Here is a 21,999-nt window from a genome sequence, read left to right as displayed (position 1 = left end):
GTTTTGTTTTGTTTTGAGACGGAGTCTTGCTCTGTTGCCCAAGCTAGAGTGCAGTGGCATGATCTTGGCTCACTGCAACCTCCGCCTCCCAGGTTGAAGCGATTCTCCTGCCTCAGCCTCCCGAGTAGCTGGAATTACAGGCATGCGCCACCATGGCCGGCTAATTTTTGTGTTTTTAGTAGAGACAGGGTTTCACCATGTTGGCCAGGCTGGTCTTGAACTATTGACCTCAGGTGAGCCGCCCGTCTCGTCCTCCCAAAGTGCTGGGATTAAGACGTGAGCCACTGCGCCTGGCCGGTTTCTGCATTTTTAAAACTTTTCCCTTGCCCACACATCTTCAGGAGTTTCCTCTGAGCCACTTCTGCAAGCTACGGTAGCACAGGGTCCCTCCAGCCTGGTCTTCCTCTGAGTTTGTGTAAACAGGTTGCAGGGAAAGGCCAGCCCTGCCCTGCTAGGGCCATGTGCTCCCACCCTATTCTCCCTTTTTGTGGAAAGCTTTATGTTGTAGGTCTCCGGGATAGAGAAAGGAATGTCATCACACCCTCCCGAGGGAGGCCAGTGGGGTCTGGGGCCAGGCAGCATACAGAGGGGAACAAGAGGGCAGTCCCTGTGCAGTAAGTAACTCAGAATGACTTTACTCAGGAAATATGACCATGACTCACTGGCTAGGAGTGCCCCATGCCCAGTTCTTAGAGACCCTTGATAGCTCCTAGAAGACAGGAGGCTGCCGTGGTCAAGAAGGGCCAAGCCTTGAAGTCTCACGGCACCCCCTGTGGTGGAGGTATAAGGCTCAGGGGCCAACTACTGGGTCTTGCAGTCCCCATCGTTGCTGTGGGCTGTCTTCACCTTCTTTAGTTCCTTCTGTAGCTCAGACTCGGCCACCACAACCTCCTTTGGCTTCTGGTACTGTGGATGCAGCCAGGAATAAGAAAATAATTCAGTCACTGTCCCATCTCCTTCCACACACACTTGGGGCCCCTTCTCCTTCTGATCCCCTTATTTGCACGAGAAAATTGAGGCCTGTAGGATTGAATGATTTGCTCAAGGTCATGTGCCTGAGTAGGAGCAGACCTTGGACCAGAAGAACCCAAGTTCAGCAATTTCCACCGCTTCCCTTTCACCCTCTACCCTCTTCTAGCTGTGAATTATATGGTCAGGCTCCTTCCTGAGCCCCCTCCCTGCTCTCCCCCATGCTGAATTAGAGATGCCTATTCTCCCACAAGCATACCCTAGGGCTTGGGGCTAGAACTGAGGACTCTTATGGGATGGGAAGTGGGCAGGGAAAGAGGAAGACTCTCCCTGATGCAGTGTCCAAGAAGTCTGGGTGAATCTTACAGAGATGATCAGGGTGCAGTTGGCGTGGGCAAAGCTCAGCAAGGCGTCATCCAGAGGTAGCTGGTGTCTATCTAGATCAGGAATGGAGAACTTCTTGTAGTACCTGTGGGGACACCGAGAGGCCATTGGGGCACTCGGCAAGGTGACCCAACAGCCAGGCGTCAGGCCCTCTGCTGCCTAGCTTCTACCTAGTTCTTCCACACCTTCCACACACGCAGAGAGGGAGAAGGGAAACCAGTTAGAACACCAGTATTTCAGAGCTCAGTGGCCCTGGAAAGCATAGAATGCAAGCCTTATGTCCAGTCCAGTGGCAGAAGAGCAGAACCTAGTTATAATTCTGTGATTAGACCAGGGGTTGTAGTGACTCACATCTCAGAGCTGGGTCTCCCAAAGACAGGCAGAAGAAGCCTGGAACACACAAATAGCTCAAGCAGCTTGGGACTCCTCTACCCCCAAAGCCTCATGGAGACACCAGAAAAATGGGACGTGTTCTAACAAAGGACAGAGTAAGGACATTCAGATCTGTCTCCCAAAGCTGGGGCCCTACTGTTACCATTTACATGGGAGGTCCACTGAAGGCCTCAACTACCTCTTCCTCTTTTGGGGCCTTTCAAGGCCTTGTTAGCCTGGCCTTGTAGGCCAGAGGGAAAAGTATATCTACTAGGAGAAATCTCTTTGAGAGGACGAACCATGTTACTCATCACGGAAGCTGGACCTCTGGACTACTTGGCTGGCCCCAAGTCCCTACTCCTCCATTTTTACATATCACACATGGTCCTTATCATCTGCAGGTGCCGGTTCAGCGATTAATGATGCCTTTTAATTAAAAAAAAAAATAGAACAGATGGCAACACCCAGTCTGTAATGTGTATAACTAGACTTTGCAGGAAATTTGACCCCCCTTACCTAAAAGGGAACTCGGGCTCAGAGAGATGAAATATCTTGCCTTGTTTCACGGCCAGTTGTCGGTAGGGATGGGAGTCAAGATTAGAGTAAGATTCCTTGTCCTTGGTCTGATCCTTACTACACCAAAGCACAATGAATGGCCTCCTCATCTCTAACAGTACACCAATTTGGCATTTTCCTTGGTGGAAATGTGGCTTAGGCTCTGGCCAGGGGCTGCTAGACCTGTCACTTGGGCAAGGCATCACTTTCTGCTGCAGAGGTTGTATGGGCTGTGAAGGGAAACACCTCAGGCAGGTACAAACAAACTCAAGTGAGAGGCCTGGGGAGGATGGGGCTTTTAGTACTTCAGAGGGGCCTGGTCCTTGTGGTGACAGCTACCCTGAGTCCACTTCAAAAGCCCCTATGCCCTGGGGACTCAGAGAGTTGACATCAATGCAGCACTTCTGCCCCCGTCCTCCCTGCCCAAATCCCTCCGTTCAACAGAGGCTCTCGGGGCCCCTCTCCTCCCAGGTTCCCCACTCCCCACCAAGGTACTGGGACCCATGGCAGGAAAAGAATGTTTACTTAAAGGCTGACAGTTCAAAAGGAGTGGGGGCTGGGGGATCCTAATGGCATTGCAAGTTGCTTTATTTTCCAAAGCTCTGCCCCAGGGAAAGGCGATCCATCTGCCTGCAAACCGGGGATGGAATGCCTGCCTCATCCTCTTCCTAGCCAGCTCAGGCTGAGGGCTCTTCCTGGGGCCTTTGGTCTGGCCAGCAAAGGTGGCAGACACTGATAATAGGGGAGAGTCAAAGGTTAAACAGCAGAGATTAGATGAACACAAAGACTTGTTAGGAAGTGTTAACATCTTCCCTGCAAATATACACAAAAAGCAGAACCAGGAGGGAAGCAGCCCAGCAGAACCATTCCCCCAGGCTGGGGCAGTGGGACCGGAAAATGAATCCCAGGGCTTGGCCACAACAGCAAGGACAGGATCAGAGGGAACTTTAGGTGCATAGCTTGCACCTGCTTTCCTTGAACTACTCCTACCACCAGGCAAGAGGAATGGAGGCAGAGCAGGTGGAGGCTCAGCTTGGTTTTGAGTCTCTTGTAATAGATTTAGTTTATTGGTCGAGGTTAACCAACTTCTTAGAAGCTCCCGATAGGCTCAAGGGAGTAGGGAGCATCTGCCTTTTCTCCTCCTGGGGAAGCCCACCCCCTTCTCACACCCATTCCCCCAGACATAGGGTTTTTCCATGATAGGTACTGTACTTGACTTTCTCACCAGCACCTGGACAAGAGAGAGACCCACTGTGCTTCTGGAAGGGTCATAACGTTCAGCCTCAGGCAGCTGTAGGTAGGCAGCAAACATTTATTGGGCATCAACTGTGTCCCAGACCTTGAGCTGTGAGCTGGGGATTTAAGGATGAAGAAGAGGGCGGGCCTGGTGACTCATGCCTGTAATCCCAGCACTTTGGGAGGCTGAGGTGGGAGGATCACTTGAGGCCAGGAGTTCAAGACCAGCCTGGGCAACATAGCGAGACCCTGTCTCTACAAAAAATTAAAAGAAAAGGATGAAGAAGAAACAAGGCCTCCAGATGCAGTGGCTCACTTCTGTAATCCCAGCATTTTGGGAGGCCGAGGTAGGCAGATCACTTGAGGCCAGGAGTTCAAGACCAGCCTGGCCAACATGGTGAAACCCTGTCTCTACTAAAAGCACAAAACTTAGCCAGGCGTGGTAGCAGCACCTGTAGTCCTAGCTACTTGGGAGGCTGAGGCAGGAGAGTCACTTGAACCCAGGGGGCGGAGGTTGCAGTGAGCCAAGATCGTGCCACTGCACTCCAGCCTGGGCAACAGAGCCAGACTCAATCTCAAAAAAAGGAACAAGGCCATATCCCTGCTGATCAGACCTTGTTTTGTTTCTGCTAAAAGATGAACCCTTACAGCAGGATAGTTCCCTGGCTTCCTGCAGATGCCCCGCTCTCCCCCATTCCCACCTCCCTTCAATGTTCTATTTCAGCCATACAATGAAAGATGACATTTTAAGAGCTTATTCTGTGCCAGGTTCTAAACACATTTAATTGTCAAAACAACTCTCTCAGGTTGGTTACTTCTATTATCCACTTTTAAACAAAAGGAAACTGAGGCCCAGAAAAGTTAGATATCTTGCCCAACTCACAAAGCTGGTAAACAGAGAAGCCCGTATTAAAGTGAGAATTCCCCAAATCTCCTGACACCTCCATGTCTCCACATTCTCACCACAAAGTAATAGCCCGCCATAGTCTAGATTATTTGCATTTGTCCAATGATGGGGCAGATATTGAGGTGGGAGGTGGGGATGTTCAACAATGAACAGGTTGTCTCCCCTGGGGTCCGAACACTCTGCGGGTCCCCTGGGTACTCTCTCCAACACATCAGTGGCCTTCCTTTCTGAATGTCAAAAGTCTTCAAAAGATGTATGTGGAAGTAAAGGCTTGTAGCAGAACTCCTGGCCCTGCCTTGTGACCCCGGACAGGTCACTTAATTTCTGGGCCTCAGTTTCCACATTCCTTCTTCGAATAAAAGAGCTGCACTAGATGAACTTGAAGTCAATGTCAAAGGGCCCAGAACAGGCCAACTCTGTACCTGTCTTCTCCCTGTTTGACAGACGACTCCTCCATTTTGACTATTTCAGTAATGATCTATTGCCTCCCACCACTCTCTACTGTATCCCCTCCCCAATCCAGCCTTTCAACCCAAAAGGGCACCAGAGGCCAGGCCCTCAGAGGGAGAGAGACTCTGGAGGCTGAAGGCAGGAGCAGGGCTGCTGTGGACAATCACTTGGGTCATGCCTCACATACCTCAGAGGGGGTGCCATGCACACCTGCACACCGCATGGCCAGAGGGGTCCAGAGAAGCCTCCAACCAGTCCGCCTTTAGAAAAGCAGCAAGCAAATCTTCTTAAACATCAAGGCTCTGGGCAAACTTGGCACCCCCACCCACAGTCGCCCCCTGCTAGACAGTCACAATCACACACACATACTAAAGGCTCTCGGCCCCACCAAAGAGAAGCCTGTTTAATCCAGAGTTTCTTAAATTTATTTAACCACAGAATCCTTTTTTCTAGTGAAGCCTATTAACACCTCCCACAGTGTTACTATCACCGATGTCAAATCAGCCAAGCTCTCCTCAGATTCCAATTTCCAAAGAACTGTTGAGGACCTGCTTCAGGCCAGCCGTTGTGCTGGCCTGTACATATATGATTTCATCAAATTCCCCAAAATCTGTGAAGTAGCTGTGAGTCTTCTCTGATAGATGAGGAAACCTTGCCTAAATTCTACAGCTAACAGTGGCAGAGGCCAGATTTAACCCAACAACTTCTCACTCCTGCACCCTGGCTCATTCCACCTACAGCGGCCAACTTCCAGGCTGAGGCTAGGAGCCCTCTTTCTGCACAAACGTTATCAGGAATAGATGGTCCAACACTGGGATCCTGGAAAAGCACTTTTTTCCTTCCCTGATTCATCCCTCACTAATATGTGAGGCCAAGGACATGATACACTGCAATCAATTCCTTCAAGTAAAGTCACCAACCCAGCTCTTCAGAGACAAGGCAAGTATGGGTAAAGAAACTCTGGCTTTGGTTAGTAACCACATTCCAGAATATTAGAACTGGGGCAGGTTATGGAACCTCCAGGTGAAGGAAGAGGTCAAATCAGAGAGAAATGCCATGATGTGCATTTCTGAAGTGCAGATGTCTGAGTATCAGGAGAGACAGTCACTAACTTTCAGCAAGCTGGTTCATCATGCTGACTTTATATATACATTTATATAATCATCTATAACACAAGAATAAAAGTATGGATCCTGTCCACCTCCTGACAGAATGATGATCAGAAAACAGATTTTAAATGTACTATATCCTTAAAAAGCTAAACACTGTGGAAGGGAGTAGCCATTGAGTTTTTGGCTTCTGGCCAGAGGCCACACTTCCCCACCTGCCAGAATGGCCACCCTGGTCTGGGTGTGGTGGCTCATGCTTGTAATCTCAGCACTTCAGGAGGCCAAGGCAGGAGGATCACTTGAGCCCAGGATTTTGAGAGCAGCTTGGGCAAAATGGAGAGACCCTCAACGCTATAAAAAATTGTTTAAACTTGGCCAGATTGGGTGGTATGCGCCTATAGTCCCAGCTTCTCAGGAGGATGAGGCGGGAGGATCCCTTGAGCCCAGGAGTTCAAAGCTACAGTGAGCTATGATTGCAAGAAGTGGACTCTAGCCTGGGCAATAGGGCAAGACTCCATCTCTTTTTTTTTTTTTGAGATGGAGTCTCACTCTGTCACCCAGGCTGGAGTGCAATGGCATGATCTTGGCTCACTGCAACCTCTACCTCCTGGGTTCAAGCGATTCTCCTTCCTCAGCCTCCCGAGTAGCTGGGACTACAGGCATGCACCACCACGCCTGGCTAATTTTTGTATTTTTAGAGAGACAGGGTTTCGCCATGTTGGCCAGGCTGGTCTCAAACTCCTGACCTCAGATGATCCACCTGCCTTGGCTTCCCAGAGTGCTGGGATTACAGGCGTGAGCCACCGCGCCCAGCCAAGACTCCATCTCTTAAAAAAAAAATAAATAAATAAAAATAAAAATAAAAAAGAATGTCTATGCAGGCTGTAACCCCTGATGAGAAATAAATCTCTCCCTTCCAAATTAATAATAATAATAAAGGAATACCCATTGAGTTCTATATAATTAATGGGAGTAAAGGTATAAAATACATTCTTCCAGGTAGAAGGTAAAAATGCCACTAGGTTCGGGAACGATCTGGCTAAGGGTTCAGCGGCCTCTAGGTTACCTCCCAACAGAGAGACCTGAGGAGGGCAGGGATGAGCCAGGCTGGGACACTGGACCAGAGGCTCAGTGTGGGTTCCAAAGTGGGCCCTGAAACACTCCTCTGTCCTCTATGGGAATCCAACCCTCAGCCCTGCCCCTCCAGGGGCATCACTCCCATCCCACCTGGCCTCACCCATCATTTCAAAAATGTCCAACAACCCCTGCTTGCCTTGAGAGCTAGCCTGGGCCTCCAGCCATGGAGCTCCTGGCCAACAGCGCCACCTATGGCTGGATGTGCGCAGGAGATGGGACCCAGAGGATATGCTGGCAGATGAATTTTTTGGTGAGCTAGCTAGCCTCTTTCCTCACTCCCTGGTAATCACATTTCTGTCTGATATCTGTATTCGACAGTGACCTCTGGGGGACAAAAAAGAGGCAGCAGCCAGCTTCACAAAGTGCTGGGCTGCAGATTCAAGTGCTATCAGAAGCACTTTTGTTCCCAGTTTGGACCCAAGGCCTCTTCCACCAAGGAATGCTTGCTGAAGCATGGAGTTTGTTCTCCTACAGGCAATTTCTCTGTTGTCTGAAATTGCTAAATTCCACTTTAGGCAGTGACTCCTGTTAATGATGAGAACAATAACGGGAATAAACTGCCTCTTATCTGAGGGCTTCAAAGTGCTTTATAAACACAAACCCTTATTATTATGACTTTATATTTATAGACAAGGCCCACTGCAGGGGCTGCTGGCTGCATGTACAGCAATAATCCTGAAATTAATTCATCCATCTCCACCCTTTCCCCTGTCCTCTTAACCCTGCCAAAGCAATGGGATATGGGGGTCACAAGAGGATGGCAGCACCCAGGGCTGCGATGGGGGAGTCTGGGAGCTACCCTGCTTCCCTGTGGGCCTCGTGAGCCTGAGGGAGATGGAAGGGGAGACTGGCACCACATCACCTGAGGAGATGCACAAGGAGCTGTGTCCCCATTACTGCATGTAAAGCAAGAGATGGGTGGGGGCATCCCCATGAGGCATGTTGAATGGCTTCACAGCTTGCAGACAGGTAACTTATAAAACCTCCCATCTCAATGCCCAAATCTATTTTGTGGGAGTTGTCCCTAGACTGTATTCTCTCTAGCCCAGGTCAAGATTGATTCATTTCAGGGTCATTCCCTTCAGGCCTCACACAGGGCATTGTTCTCCTGTGATCAGTCAGGGCTCCAGAAACCTAAATGAGATCAATGCATTTCCAAAATGGAAATGCACTGTGGCCACCTTCTGTCCTTTCAACCCCTGCAGTTTGCCTCCCCTCTAGGGGACCACAAAGGGAAGTTGAGTACCCCTTTTGAAGCATTATGCAAGAGACTTCCAAGCGGCCCAAGCATCTGCCCCACTGTCAGTCTGGGGAGGGATTAGGTTTACTGCTGCCCAGTCTGCTTTAAACTGCTGTCAAGTACTGCTTTAAAGGACTGTCACTCCCACTTCAGACAGGGGTGCCTTCCAAGCTATGGCTCCCTGCCAGCTCTGACAGTGATGTCACCAGGCCACCCTTACCAAGGCCTGGCTCCAGTCAGGAGACCAAGGTCATAATAACCTTTCAGCAGAACCACCTGAGACCACAAGTTAATGGTCCTGTGATTTCCCTCATCATCTCATTCATTCAACAAATATTTACTGAGCCCCTATCTATGCCAGGTACTATACTAGATACTCATTCAAGTTTCTCTTCCCCGATGGAGCTGATTACATTATTCAGGCCGGTCCTGCAGAGAGGAAGCCCTTCCAATACCTGTAAGCAGAAGGGCTTCCTCTCTGCAGGACCGGCCTGAATAATGATCCTAACGCCAGATCAAACCCCACCCTACACCCCGCTCATACACAAGCACACAGGGTGCCTTCCACGCTACTCACTTCTTGTTGGTTGTTCTGACAATGATGCAGCGCTCCTTCTGGTCCACAGAGACACTATAGACATCCTTAGGATAGGGGAGGTTTCGAATCCGCCACTGGAAACTCATCTTGGTGTCCTTGCGCATGAAGATAGGCTGCAGAAGGCAAATCCAACTCGAGGACTGTTCCTGGGGAAGGGAAGGCTCCACCCTCATCAGAGCGCTACCCCGGGGCACAACAAGACCCTCAGCTCTTCTCCACTGCTCCCCTCTGACGCTGCTATTGCTACAGCACTCCAGGCCCTGAGCCCCCGCCCTGGGACGATCAAGCCAAAATGTCTGTATTCATTCAAACAAACATTTATAGAGTGCTGTGTCCAGGTGGCACACTGGAGGCGAGGAGGTGAACAAGACATGGTCCCTGCCCTCAAGAGCCAGCAGCCCACAGCCCACCCCCACCTCAGTCCGTGCAAGACACCTGGACAGATGGACGTACATTGGCATTGCTTTCCTTGATGAGTTCAGGCCCCAGGTTCCCTGCTCCTAGGGGCGCTGGGTCTCCTACTTCAAGCTGCCACTGGCCCATGGCTCCCAGGGCACTTTTCACACGCCACTTTCTCACTGGGGAGAGAAGCAAGCATCGGGATGAGAAGCAAGCATCAGGATGAGAGTGAAGAGAGGGTCTCTGCTCTTTTCTGCTGAATCACCGGCACCACACTAGGTAACTAGCACAAGATGAAAGTGGGAGTGTTGGGCCTTTACTCTCAGCTTTGTTAATCTAAGGAGGGACCTCACAACTTCTGAAATTTCAGTAGAGCATTTCAACATTAGACAACCCTCAAAGCGCATCTCATGGGTGCTCAGGCAAAAGGAACTGGAATGAAGCTCTGAGAAGAGCCAAGTGGAGTCAAGAAACCCTCAGGTGTGGCTTCAAGCAAGGAGAAGATGTGAAGATTAGGAAAAGGGTTGTTTCTGGTAATGGAGAAAATTTGGATCCCAAAAAGGAGTTGAAGCACACTTTTTCCCTCAAAAACATGCAGAGGAAAAAATAATTAAGAGGGTGAAAGCTGTTCGGCAGGTCTGTATCATGATTCAGAAAGTCCAAATATAGAAATTCACTCTTTTCAGGTATACCTTGCTTAAAAAAAAAGAAAAAAGCAAAAACAAAAAAACGCTCCAAAGCTGCATTTAAACAAAATCGTAGGCACATGCCATATTTTAAATGCACGGTTTATAAAAGATCTAATGTGAATTTTTTGTAAAAGGGAATCCTTCTAGAATGCAAATAACCATCTCTATTTTACCTTGTTTCATAACCCAGATGCTTGCATAAGATTTTAAGGCACATATATTATGAAAATTATAAATCAAGAAACTAGTTGAATGGACTACCTGAAAACCCCTGCTGAGATTTTCATTTTCAGGAACCATGCGGTCCATCACTGCAGGGGGATCTTTTCTGAGCCATGACCTCCTATCCCCCAGTTCCTTTCCCTTCCTGCTGCATTTGGAATCCGGGGCTGCCCACTATGGTATCCTCCAGCCTGAGGAGCCCAGCTGGTGCTAAAGACCAGCAGCCTCTGTAGCTGTTTAAGGAGCTAAACAACTCAAAAAGTGCACAGTACTCAGTTACAGTTGTTTCTGTTTGTGTCTTTTTCCAGGTAGGAGTTGAGAGCTACAGTCAGGTTCTCAGCACTAGGCAGCCGGCGGTTTTACTTTAGACCTTTTGAGCAGCTGTGTCAAATCCAAACGCCCTCACCGGTATAAGTAAGGCACACAAGCTGAACACAAAAGTGTGCTGTAAAATTAGAATTTTCCCTTAAATATGTGCTTTTATAAGGTCTGCTGCATTCTGCAGTGTGATTTTATTACCTCTTAGGGCCAAAAATTCTCCCTAGAAACACATTTCCAAGTTTATAATGAAAATTAATAAGGAAGAGTAAAACTTGGAAATATGCTTTATAGGCAACTTTTTTCCCCCACAAATACTTCTCTCTTAAGTGAACGGACTGTGACCAGGAGTATATCCAAATCTATTCAGTGTTAATACCTCACTTCACTGGAAGCAGCCTTCTGGGGGCCTCTGACACAGTTGCAAACTCAGAAGTGACAAATGCCTCCGAGCAGCAGCTTATTGTGAAAAGATCCATGTACCCTACTCTATACTATAGGAAAGATCACTCTCAGATTCTCGCTCAGACTAGGTATAAAATGCTGTGTGTAGAATAAGGCAGGAAATTACTTTTTTTCTCAGGCATATTGACAATGGTATCGGGGACAACTCACACTGGACGGCAGTGTCAGAACCACATAAACACTTGGGACCATTTAGTGTAAGGGCAAACAAGCACCCTTAGACTCCAATGGTGCCACTTTATAATAGAACACAACCATCACAGATTTTAAAGGTGGAAGTTCCTTTAGAAAGCATCTACTCCAGGCCGGGCGTGGTGGCTCATGCCTGTAATCCCAGCACTTTGGGAGGCCAAGGCGGGCGGATCACCTGAGGGAGTTCGAGACCAGCCTGGCCAACATGGAGAAACCCCGTCTCTACTAAAAATAAAACATTAGCTGGGTGTGGTGGCACACGCCTGTAGTCCCAGCTACTGGGGAGGCTGAGGCAGGAGAATCGCTTGAACCTGGGAGGTGGAGGCTGTGGTGAGCTGAGATTGTGCCATTGCACTCCAGCCTGGGCAACAAGAGTGAAACTCCGTCTCAAAAAAAAAAAAAAAAAAAAAAAAAAAAAAGAAAGCATCTACCCAATGTCTGTATTTTTAAAATGAGAAATAGCATTTTTTCCCTGACTGCTCTCTTTCAACCCTTGCCACTACTCTCTAGGAAACAGACTATGAAGAATTACTGAGGCTCAAGGAGACAATCTTACAAATGCCACGGCTAAACTCCAGGTCTCCTAACTCCAAATCCAGAATTTGAATTATTAATAAAACTTTATTCTGAAAGTGTTCAATAAGCACATGTAATATTTTGAAAGGTTTCTGTTTTTTTTTAAGTAGCTCAATTTATTTTTTATATTTGGCCTTTAAAGGGTAAGCTTTGATTATCTGAAAAAGTAAATTATGAGGACTACCTCACGACCTAGGGCTGGATAAGTGAGGTGCCCCTGTAAGTCATGGGCCTTGCTAAAATGGGTGTCCTAATGCATAATAATGCACCAAGGTGGCCTGGAGGGACGACAACCACCCCAGGGTTTTCTGTGCACTTTTACTCCAAAAAATTTTGAGTTTTACACAGAAAACTTCCCAAGAAGTACTCAAAGAAGGAAGAAAGTCAGCTGCTGATTTCCTTACTTCTGACCTTAAAAACCACTCAGGGAACTTGACACCTCTGGCTGCTTCACCTTTATTTTTTGTTTAAACACCTTGAGAATTAAATTCTTTGTTAGAATGTAGAAGAAAGTCTCCTTTCCCATTCCCTCTAGAGATAAGACCCAATAAAAGATTTTGGGGAAGTCCTTCTTATTTTTCCTATGCACAAGTGCATGGGTGTGAACACACATGTACAAATGCACACTTTGTCTTGTCTTTCTTGCCCCCGTCTTTGTTTCTGAACTCAAGGACGGCTCCTGCGGCAACAGAAGACTGTTTCCATCTGCTGTCACTCTGATTTGATTATATGTTAAACCCAAACTGGTGTGAGGCAGCTTCCCGGGACGCTGTCATATCTTCCCAGCTGAGCCCCAGCCAGACCTTGGAAAAGAGACTTTCCACCCCGGTGAAGAGTCTGATGGGGAATATATAAAGGAGGTGGCGCCTGGGGGCTTTTTCCTAAATCAGCAGGAAGCAGGCTGATGTCCCAGACTGCTGAAAGGAGGCCCCATCTTTCAGGTGGGCTGGAAAGTAGAAGTCCTAAAGGCCTCTTTCCCCAAAGCTCCAAACCCTGGCCCACTTCCAATGTGGATAATTACATTCCCCTTCCCTAAATGTTCCCTGCAGCTTCAACTGGATGCAGGATTCTTCTTTTCTGCCTTAAAACACTGCAACATTGCTATGTGGCAATTAAACAGCTGCCATGTCCCATCCCAGAGGAGGCCGAAGGGAATCGAGTGGGTCATTTATAAAGCCAGTGAAGTGCTTGGGGATGAAAGTGCTCAATATCCTCCAAATGCAGCCTGGGGTGGTTAGGCTGGCGGTCAAATACCAAAGCAGATTAAGTCGGTAATCCGAATGTAATCGCTGGGGGATGGCCTGCCCTTCAGCCTCAGCCCCCTTGGACATGCTGTGTTCTTCTCAGGCTGGTTTGATGTTCCGATCATTGTTGTGGGGCCTTCAGTTTTTTCCTCTATGAATACATGCAGCAATCATTGTGGGGGGTGGGAATGAATAGCACTGAGAGGGTAGGAAAAAAACAGGACACTAACATGCTTATTAACACCGACGGGAGGAACTCTGTCCCAGACTGACGCACACCTATTGGCAATTCTTCCTCTGTAAATTACTTTGAATTTTTCTAACAGAAAACTGGTTTGGCTAATTATCAAATTTGTATACTTAGCTAGAAAAATGGAAACTATTCCTATTTATTGCCACAAAAACCATGTCCCTACTTTACTTCATAGAATGCACAAGCAAAAGCCAGCTCAACCCCTGGGATTATTTATACTTAAAAATTAATAATGGAGAGTATTTTGCCAGGGCAGCAGTGGTGGATAGGAAGAAGAGTAAGAAAAAGATCTGCTGTTCTAGAGCTGGGCCCAGTGGCTCAAGTGAGGTCCTCCTGTCTGCCCATCAGTCCACACTCAGGCCTTTCTGGGGAAAGAAAAACAGTAAGAAGAAAAGAAAGTTGGATTTAAGTGTTCTCAACTCCCAGCACTATGTTGTTGAGGACTAAAGCATGGGCTCTTAATTGGACAGAACTAGGCTTAAATCCTGGCTTAGAAACTAGCTACATAATTCTCAACAAGGTGCTTAACCTCTTTGAGCTTCCATTTTTTCCAAATGTAAAATGGAGACAAGAGTATCTACCTCATAGGGCTTTAACGAGGACGAGTAAATGAGGTAATTCACGTAGAGCACTTAGCATGGTGCCCAGTAAGAGTCACGCTATTAATATCATTATTAGGTCAACTTTAGCCAAACAGTGTTCTCCTGTGAACAGTCTTCTCCATTTCTGCTTTTAAGAAAGAGGAGTTTGGAAGCCATGGTCTATTCCCCACCTGCCACTAGGAGAAGTGACAGGTTAATAAGGGATATCAGGGCACATGGTGCTACAAATGAAGAAACCTGGACTTGTTTTTAATTTCAGTTTCATATCCAAGCACAACAAAGAGGCCTGGGTTTTATTTGTTTGTTTTTACAGCCGCAGCAGCTATAGCTGTTTTATTTGCTCTGTGTGGAGGAGTAGAGAAGTGGCACGGGGGGCTGGGAGTGAGGAGCTGCGGCTATTCTCTGGCCTGGTTATGGTGGTGGCTAGTCCACGTGACCTCTGCTTTCATAAGTTCTCCCCTGTTAGGCATTCCAAGGCTGTCATCCCCTGGGAGCACTATAAATTACAATGCATTGTGAGGATATTACTACTGTATTGGTTTCCACCGAATCAGTGTCATATGCTAAACACATCAAGATTTTTAATAGCACCAGACTAAACCAACTGGGACTGGAGCCCAAGCAGCTCATAATAAGGAGGGATCAACACTTCACTGTGCGACTGAACATGCGCAGGACAAACATTTTAAGACTGGAGACTGAGGGAATGCAAGCCCGTGTAATCCATGTTGTCGGTTCTAGACATTTATGAGCTGTCAGAAAAAAGGAAAAAGAAATTCCCTCACCAATACTACCTGTCGATCAGGCCCAGGAAGAAATTAAAGCCAAGAATAATGACAAGAAAATAAACCAGCCTGTGATTCCATCATTGGTCTTAGCATTTCAGATGGAACTTAATAAAGAGACCAACTCCCACTGCTGACAGCCTTGGGCCCTGGGTCAAAGAGCCAGCCACCTAGCTCTGGGAAGCTGGTTAATGCTGATGTGCACACCTGGGAACAGAGTGGACAAATCAAATAATTCCCAGAAATCTGAGCTGGAGCCCCTACCCATGAGCCTGTTCTTAGAGGAAAGGCGCTGCAGGAATGAAAGTGACCACGCTGCAAAATCACTGTTTTGACCCTCTTTGACTGAGATGTTCTTCAAAATAAGGACCATATTTTATAGTGTTGCCTTTGAGGCAAGCTCAGAAGCTCTGCCTCTGATACTCGCTTGCTCCTGGTGTGGCTTTAGAAAACAAAACAAACAAACAAAAAAACAAGGAAAAACAAATTGTGAAAGTCTGCCCTTATCCCTCCTAAACCTACAAGGCTCACTTCCAATACCACCTCCTCTGTAAAGTTTTTTCCCAACTGTTTCTCTACATCTTAGAATTACTCCCTCTCTCATTTGTCTGGGGTGAGGGGTGGGGATGAATTTTACTGGTCAAAAGGACTCGCATTCCACTTTTGGTGCCCAGATTATGCTCAGGAACGTTGTTGTCTCGAGGGCTTCCGTCTCTCCCAGCCTCTACATTTGATCTGGGCTCCTACCTCAAGCCTAAGGCTAGGAGTGTTCATTGTGCTTATGTCAGCCCCAAGTATTACTAAAGGCCCACTGGGAGCCTCTGTCACTTACCAAGTAGTTCACTCGTCTTCTCGTCATATTCTTCAGCCATTTCCTTGCCGTCTGGGAATAAATAGTGAACCTTCCTTCTCCCTATGCACAAAACAGAGAATGCCTTACCTCAAAGTCTCCCCTTGCCCTGTCCCTTGCAGATCAAGGGGCCTACCTGGGAAACAGTGCCAGCCTTGGGAGTACTGAGGAACCCAGCCAGGACCTCCCCAAACTCCTTGCCAACCACCACCCACCATTACTTTAAAACGTGTCCTGAGACTCTCTCCCTTTCTGAAGCTTTCCTTGAACATCTTTGCCCTGCTGTTTCCTCTACCAGCAACAGCTCCATATTTTTTCCTATCTGTGGAACTCTTCTTTGCCCTTCAAAATCCAGCTCAAATGTCACTTCCACTGGGAAGTCTTCCTCCACTATCACCTCCAGCCACTTTGGTAGGATTAATCACATCCTCATGTGTGCCTCCCTAATGTTTTACTCGTATCCATAGTGGAGCATTTACTACATACCATGATACTTTTAAAAGCATTTGTCTTCCCATGAATGACATCGTATTTATCTCTCTATGTGTTCAGGACATTGAATTGGGTTTCCTGACCAAGCACTCCCTCTAGCCATGCCAGTGCCCTGCCTTCTTCTGCATATCTCCAGGCCATTCCTATCACACAGTAACACAATGTTAAGTCCCCATGTATTTTCTTCATGGCACTTAATTTGGTTATGATTTTACATCTTTTTATGTGACTCTTTGATTACTGCCTATCTCTTCTACTAGATAGGAGGGGTTTTATCCCCATGCTATGGTTTCCTAAAGACCAAGTGTGGCTCCTGGCATATACTAGGAGCTCAACTAAATACTGATTGAAAGGATGAATAAACACTGATGCACTATCCGTTGAAAGAACAGAAGAAACTAAGGGAGGCCAGGAGTTCAAGACCAGCCTGGCCAACATGGTGAAACCCCATCTCTACTAAAAATACAAAAAAGTTAGCTGGGCATGGTGGTAGGTGCCTGTAGTCCCAGCTACTCAGGAGTCTGAGGCAGGAGAATTGCTTGAACCCGGGAGGCGGAGGTTTCAGTGAGCTGAGATTGTGCCACTGCACTCCAGCCTGGGCAACAGAGTGAGACTCTGTCTAAAAAAAAAGAAGAAGAAGAAACTAAGGGAGTCTCCTAGCCCAATTCCTCTACCCCTGGAGCATTTGCTTAAGAGTGGCTATGTAATTTCCCCTTTCTTTTTATAGGTAGGGAAGTAGATACAGGCAGACTCCTCAGTAAAACTAGTAACAGAGCACTAACATCCAGTAGACAAGTACCCTATGTATGCTTGATGAATAAGAGCCCCAAGGTGCCTTTTTCCTGTCCAATTCACTTCTCTGGGATACAGTTCCCTTGAGCCATTCCTAATCTGTATTCTGCATAAACTCACCCCTAAATTTGCAGGGCCTCTAGCAGAGCCCTAGGTAATACCACCCTTAATCATTTGGATGGCTCACAGGCATTAGAAAGGGCTCTCCTGTCAGGAGCGGGATCCAAGGTACTGCCTGGGAGGAGCTGAGGGGGTCTTGCCTGACCATCTTCTCCCCTTGGCATCCAGCCTTGAGTCCAGGCAGGATGCAGCGCTTACTAAATCCAGGCATTTCACATGTCTTATCAAATTTAATTCTCACAATAATCCTATGTGTTTTCATTACCTGTATTTCATAGATGAGGAAAAGTGAGGGTTTTTTTTTTTGACAGAGTCTCGCTCTGTCGCCAGGCTGGAGTGCAGTGGTGTGATCTCGGCTCACTGCAACCTCTGCCTCCCGGGTTTAAGCAATTCTCCTGCCTCAGCCTCCTGAGTAGCTGGGACTACAGGTGAATGCTACCACACCCAGCTAATTTTTGTATTTTTAGTAGACACAGGGCTTCACCATTTTGGCTAGGATGGTTTCAATCTCCTGAGCTCGTGATCTGCCCATCTCAGCCTCCCAAAGGGCTGGGATTACAGGCATGAGCCACCACGCCCGGCCAACTGAGGCTTTTTTTTAGAGTGTCTTGCTCTGTTGCCAAGGCTGGAGTGCAGTGGTGTGATCTCGGCTCACTGCAACCTCTGCCTCCTGGGCTCAAGTGATCCTCCACCTCAGACTCCCGAGTAGCTGGGACCATGGTTGCACACCACCATGCCCAGCTAATTTTTAAATTTCTTTGTAGAGATGGGGTCTTACTATGTTACCCAGACTGATCTCAAACTCCTGAGCTCAAGTGATCCTCCTGCCTTGGCCTCTCAAAGTGTTGAGAATACAGGTGTGAGCCACCACGCCTGGCCCTTAACTTTGTTTAAAGTGGGTTTTCCCAAACAAGTGTTTTTGTTTTTTAAGAGTGTCTGGCTATGTTCCCTAGGCTGGAGTGCAGTGGCTATTCACAGGCATGATTATAGCACACTACAGCCTCAAACTTCTGGCCTCAAGTGAGCTTCCTGCCTCAGTTTCCCCAGTAGCTGGGATTACAGGTACCCAACACAGGTGTTTAGTTTTTATAAAGCCAACTATATATTTTCTTTCTTTGTGGTTACTGCCTTAGAAGTTGCACTCAGAGCATCTTCCCTTACCCAATGATTATTCGATACTTATCTATACTTTGTTTTAATAGTATATTTATTCTAGAAATAAATGTATATATAAATTATTAAGTATATTAGTATATTTTTGTAAAAGAAAAATAACTGTGAGTGTATGCATGAAATAATATAGAAGTTTATGTATAAAAATATAAATTATGGGCTGGGCGAGGCGGCTCACGCCTGTAATCTCAGCCCTTTGGGAAGCCGATGCAGGCGGATCACCTAAGGTCTGGAGTTTGAGACCAGCCTGGTTAACATGGTGAAACCCTGTCTCTACTAAAAATTAAAAAAAAAATTAGCCGGGCTTGGTGGCGGGCGCCTATAATCCCAGCTACTCAGGAGACTGAGATAGGAGAATCGCTTGAACCCAGCAGGCAAAGGTTGCAGTGCGCCGAGATTGCGCCATTGCACTCCAGTTTGGGCAACAAGAGTGAAACTTGTCTCAAAAAAAAAAGTAAATTATGATTATCTGGGTGGTAATATTATATTTGACTTCTTTATTTTTCATATTTCCACAATGAATGTAATTATTTCTTAAAAAAACAAAAGTAAAATGGAGTCTCATTATCCAGCCCAAGATATCAATAGCCATGATTCTTGGTGGAAGGGAGTAACCTCCCCCCTACTCCCCACACCCCTCCTACACACCCAGGGGTAAATCTGCAGGTTTGACAAGGCTTAACCACATATGCAATACTGAGTTGTTTTTCAGTCTGGGGATAGGGTGGAATCTTAACAATATCATTTTGTGATGCTACTAACAAAAGAACTTAACAAAATCCTGGCTGATAAAATATTTGTTTAAAAACTTCTGTGACCAAAAACAGTGAAAGCAGGGACTCAAGTGGATATTTGTATACTCATGTTCAGAGCAGCATTATCCACAATACCCAAAAGGTGGAAGCAACCCAGGTGTCCATCAACAGATGAATAAATAAACAGAATGCAGTGTAGACATACAATGGATATCACTCAGCCTTAAAAAGGAGCAAAATTTTGACACATGCTACAATATCCATACCTCTGTGCCCACCTCTTCCAGGCACAGCCCTTGGTCCTTGCTCTATCTCCCCTAAAAACACAGGGAACATTTAGAGGTTTACTTTATGAACGATATTACAGCTGGAAAGGATCCAAACAAGTAAAGGGGCCAACTAGAGATCCTGTGGTGAATTAATGGCACAGCTGGAAGTATCCAACTGTGGCAACATGGATGAACCTTGAAGCGTTACACTAAGTGAAATACACCAGTTACAGAAAGACAAATATTGTATGATTCCACTTAGACGAGGTTCCTAGAGCAGTCAAATTCATAGACAGAAAGTAGAATGGTGGTTGCCAGGGGATGGGAGGAGGAGGGAATGAGGAGTTGGCATTTGGTGGGTACAGAATTTCACTTGAGCTGAGTGTAGTGGCACATGCCTGTAGTCCCAGCTATTCAAGAGGCTGAGGTGGGAGGACTACATGAGCCTAGGAGTTCAAGGCTGCAGTGAGCTATGATCGTACCCCACAGCCTGGGTGACAGAGCAAGACCCTGTCTCTAAAAAAAAAAAAAAAAAAAGAATTTCCGTTGAGAAAGATTAAAAAGTTCTGAAGATGGTGGTGATAGTTGCACAACAATGTGAATGTACTTAATGCCACAGAACTGTACACTTAAAAATGATTAAAATGCTAAATTCTGTTATGTATTTATTACCACAATAAAAACAAAAACCACTGTCCTATGAGAAAATGTCCTAAATCTTTAGCAAGGCATAAGAGATCTATCACAATATGTCCCAACTTATCTGTCATCTCTCTTCATTTTCCACAACTTCCCCTCATTGCTCCTTGAGAAAAGGGACCTTTTTATTCTCGCTTCCATCCTGGCACCTAGAATAGTACCTGACATAGTTATAGGTGGTTTGTTCTGACTGAGTGACTGCTTTAACATTACTAAACATTTTGTTATTCCTCTAGTAATCAGGCACGTACCTTCACACCTTCACATAGGGTCCTTATATGTGAGTTGTTCTTTGAATAGCTATCCCCTCTTCTTCACTCAGCAAACGCCTATTAATTCTTTTTTTTTTTTTTTTTTCCAGTTTTTTTGAGACAGGGTCTCGCTCTGTCGCCCAAGCTGGAGTGCACTGGCATGATCTCGGCTCACTGCTGCGTCTACCTCGCTGGCTCAAGCGATCCTCTGGCCTCAGCCACCACAAGTAGCTGGGACTACAGGCATGTGCCATGATGCACGGCTTATTTATTTTTTTGTCTGAGACACAGTCTCACTCACTCTGTCACCCAGGCTGGAATGCAGTGGTGTGATCTCAGTTCACTGCAACCTCCATCTCCCGGGTTCAAGCGATTCTCCTGCCTCAGCCTCCAGAGTAGCTGGAATTACGGGTGCGCACCACCACACCTGGCTAATTTTTTTGTATTTTTAGTAGCGATGGGGTGGTTTCATCATGTTGGCTAGGCTGGTCTCGAACTCCTGGCCTCAAGGGATCCGCCCACTCGGCCTCCCAACATGCTGGGATTACAGGCGTGAACCACCACATCCGGCCATAATTTCCGTATTTTTTGTAGAGATGAGGTTTGGCCATGTTGCCCAAGCTGGTCTCGAACTCCTGAGCTCAAATGATCCGCCCACTTTGGCCTCCCAGAGTGCTGGAATTACGGGCGTGAGCCACTGTGCCTGACCTTATTAATTCTTTAGGACCCAGAAACATCATCACTTCTGTTGGGTCTTCCTCCAAAGAGATGTCACTTACACCTTCACTCTTTCCTACCATTTTATACAAGACTACAACCTCTATTTAACGCTTCTTATTATTTAAGTACATGTTTTTCCCAACCACTCTGAGTCCTGGGACAACATATCTTTTTCTTTCTGTTCTAGTTTAGAGCTTGGCACATAGTAAAAGTCTTCCTAAATGTTGCACGAACGAGTAAATGATTTTAATTTCCACAAACTCCAGGCTTCCCTGATTGGCCCCTGCCTGTGAACATGAGTCACCAGTTGTTATCTTGAAAGCCTCAGGAACTTCAGACGCAATTCATCCTGGCTACCCAGTGGGTCCAGAAAGGACCCAAGTGCACAAAGGGGCCGGCATCGGCCAATCCTAGGGTGGGGAAAAGTTAGGTATCCATGCCCCTGTGCCCACTTCTTCCAGGCACAGCCCTTGGTTCTTGCTCTAGCTCCCCTAAAGACACAGAAAATATTTAGAAGTTCACTTAACAAAAATATTACAGCTGGAAAGGACCTCAGAGATAACAATGGTAGTCCATCCACTTCATTTTATAGATGAGGAAAGTGAGGCCCAAACAAGTAAAGGAGCCGACTGAAGCGCCCGTGGTGAATTAATGGCACAGTCGGAACTAGAGCCCAGGCCTCTCTCCTCTCTAAAGTCTAAAACATTCTTGGATTTCAGTTTCCTCTTCTGTAAAACGGGGTGAAAATTAGCCTCTCAGGACAGTGGTGAGGAGCAAATGAGATAATGAATGTAAAAGAAATTACTATATTAGCAACAGAAATCAGAGCGGAGCGAGATGGTGTAGAGGAATCTAAGGGGTGTCCGGAGACATGTGTTCCAGTCATGTCATCTCTGTGAACCTCAGTCTCCTCATCTGCAAATGCAGGACCTGGCCCGGCTGACCGCCGAGACCCTTCCAGCTCTGCCGACCCAGGCCCTGAGGCCCTTCCCGGAGGGCCGGACCCTGAGGGAAAAAAACGAAGGAGCCCGTGGGGACCCTCGAGTTACCGTCCTGCAGCAGCGCAGTCTTCTGGGCTGTCCGCAGACTCTCCAACCAGCCCGTCACCGCCATCTTTCCCCTGCTAAGCAGCACGCCCAGCCGCTGCCATGGCAACCGTTCCAGAGGGTCACTTCC

The 21,999-nt window shown here is 47.0% G+C and overlaps 1 protein-coding gene and 2 non-coding genes across 8 annotated transcripts, besides 4 other annotated features; 1 reads left to right on the top strand and 2 right to left on the bottom strand.

Annotated features, from left to right (window-relative positions):
• DPCD (deleted in primary ciliary dyskinesia homolog (mouse)) lies at positions 611 to 21,952 on the bottom strand. 6 transcript variants are annotated; one of them, NM_001329745.2, is made up of 7 exons: positions 21,873 to 21,952; positions 15,535 to 15,615; positions 9,411 to 9,535; positions 8,937 to 9,070; positions 5,061 to 5,133; positions 1,336 to 1,438; positions 611 to 906 (listed from the first exon to the last, which is right to left on the bottom strand). In NM_001329745.2, the coding sequence occupies exons 4-7, from the start codon at positions 8,998 to 9,000 to the stop codon at positions 802 to 804; spliced, it is 345 nt and encodes a 114-aa protein (NP_001316674.1). In that variant the 5' UTR covers positions 9,001 to 9,070; positions 9,411 to 9,535; positions 15,535 to 15,615; positions 21,873 to 21,952; the 3' UTR covers positions 611 to 801. The 6 variants fall into 6 exon arrangements, with proteins under 6 accessions (NP_001316674.1, NP_001316673.1, NP_001316671.1 ...); NM_001329744.2 differs by having other exon boundaries at positions 1,336 to 1,406; NM_001329742.2 differs by lacking the exon at positions 5,061 to 5,133 and having other exon boundaries at positions 8,937 to 9,103.
• Positions 1,355 to 2,070: an enhancer, noted in NCBI's record as "H3K27ac hESC enhancer chr10:103367960-103368675 (GRCh37/hg19 assembly coordinates)". NCBI's record gives its function as "activates a minimal SCP1, AML or CMV promoter by ChIP-STARR-seq in naive H9 embryonic stem cells {active_cell/tissue: H9 hESC(naive)}" and the evidence as "EXISTENCE:reporter gene assay evidence [ECO:0000049][PMID:30033119]".
• Positions 7,228 to 7,387: a silencer, noted in NCBI's record as "silent region_2722". NCBI's record gives its function as "represses an Ori minimal core promoter by ATAC-STARR-seq in GM12878 lymphoblastoid cells {active_cell/tissue: GM12878}" and the evidence as "EXISTENCE:reporter gene assay evidence [ECO:0000049][PMID:35858748]".
• Positions 8,776 to 8,856, bottom strand: MIR3158-1 (microRNA 3158-1). Its single transcript, NR_036114.1, has one exon. It is a non-coding gene; the product is annotated as a microRNA 3158-1 (primary transcript).
• Positions 8,776 to 8,856, top strand: MIR3158-2 (microRNA 3158-2). The gene has a single exon (NR_036115.1). It is a non-coding gene; the product is annotated as a microRNA 3158-2 (primary transcript).
• Positions 12,707 to 13,275: an enhancer, noted in NCBI's record as "NANOG hESC enhancer chr10:103356755-103357323 (GRCh37/hg19 assembly coordinates)". NCBI's record gives its function as "activates a minimal SCP1, AML or CMV promoter by ChIP-STARR-seq in naive H9 embryonic stem cells {active_cell/tissue: H9 hESC(naive)}" and the evidence as "EXISTENCE:reporter gene assay evidence [ECO:0000049][PMID:30033119]".
• Positions 21,667 to 21,996: an enhancer, noted in NCBI's record as "active region_3913". NCBI's record gives its function as "activates an Ori minimal core promoter by ATAC-STARR-seq in GM12878 lymphoblastoid cells {active_cell/tissue: GM12878}" and the evidence as "EXISTENCE:reporter gene assay evidence [ECO:0000049][PMID:35858748]".

The sequence above is a fragment of the Homo sapiens genome, chromosome 10 (genome assembly GCF_000001405.40).
Source record: "Homo sapiens chromosome 10, GRCh38.p14 Primary Assembly".
Taxonomy (NCBI): Eukaryota; Metazoa; Chordata; class Mammalia; order Primates; family Hominidae; genus Homo; species Homo sapiens.
The sequence above is the reverse complement of the archived record's forward strand: the minus strand, read 5'-3'. Positions and strand labels throughout refer to the sequence as shown.

Excerpts from the sequence above, each read along its gene's own strand:
- DPCD (NM_001329742.2), bottom strand. The coding sequence starts at position 21,936 with ATGGCGGTGACGGGCTGGTTGGAGAGTCTGCGGACAGCCCAGAAGACT. Across the intron at positions 9,536-15,534 it reads GAAGACGAGTGAACTACTTG|TGAGAAAGTGGCGTGTGAAA; the intron begins GTAAGTGACAGA and ends TTCTCTCCCCAG. Across the intron at positions 1,439-8,936 it reads GTCAGAACAACCAACAAGAA|GTACTACAAGAAGTTCTCCA; the intron begins GTGAGTAGCGTG and ends GTGTCCCCACAG.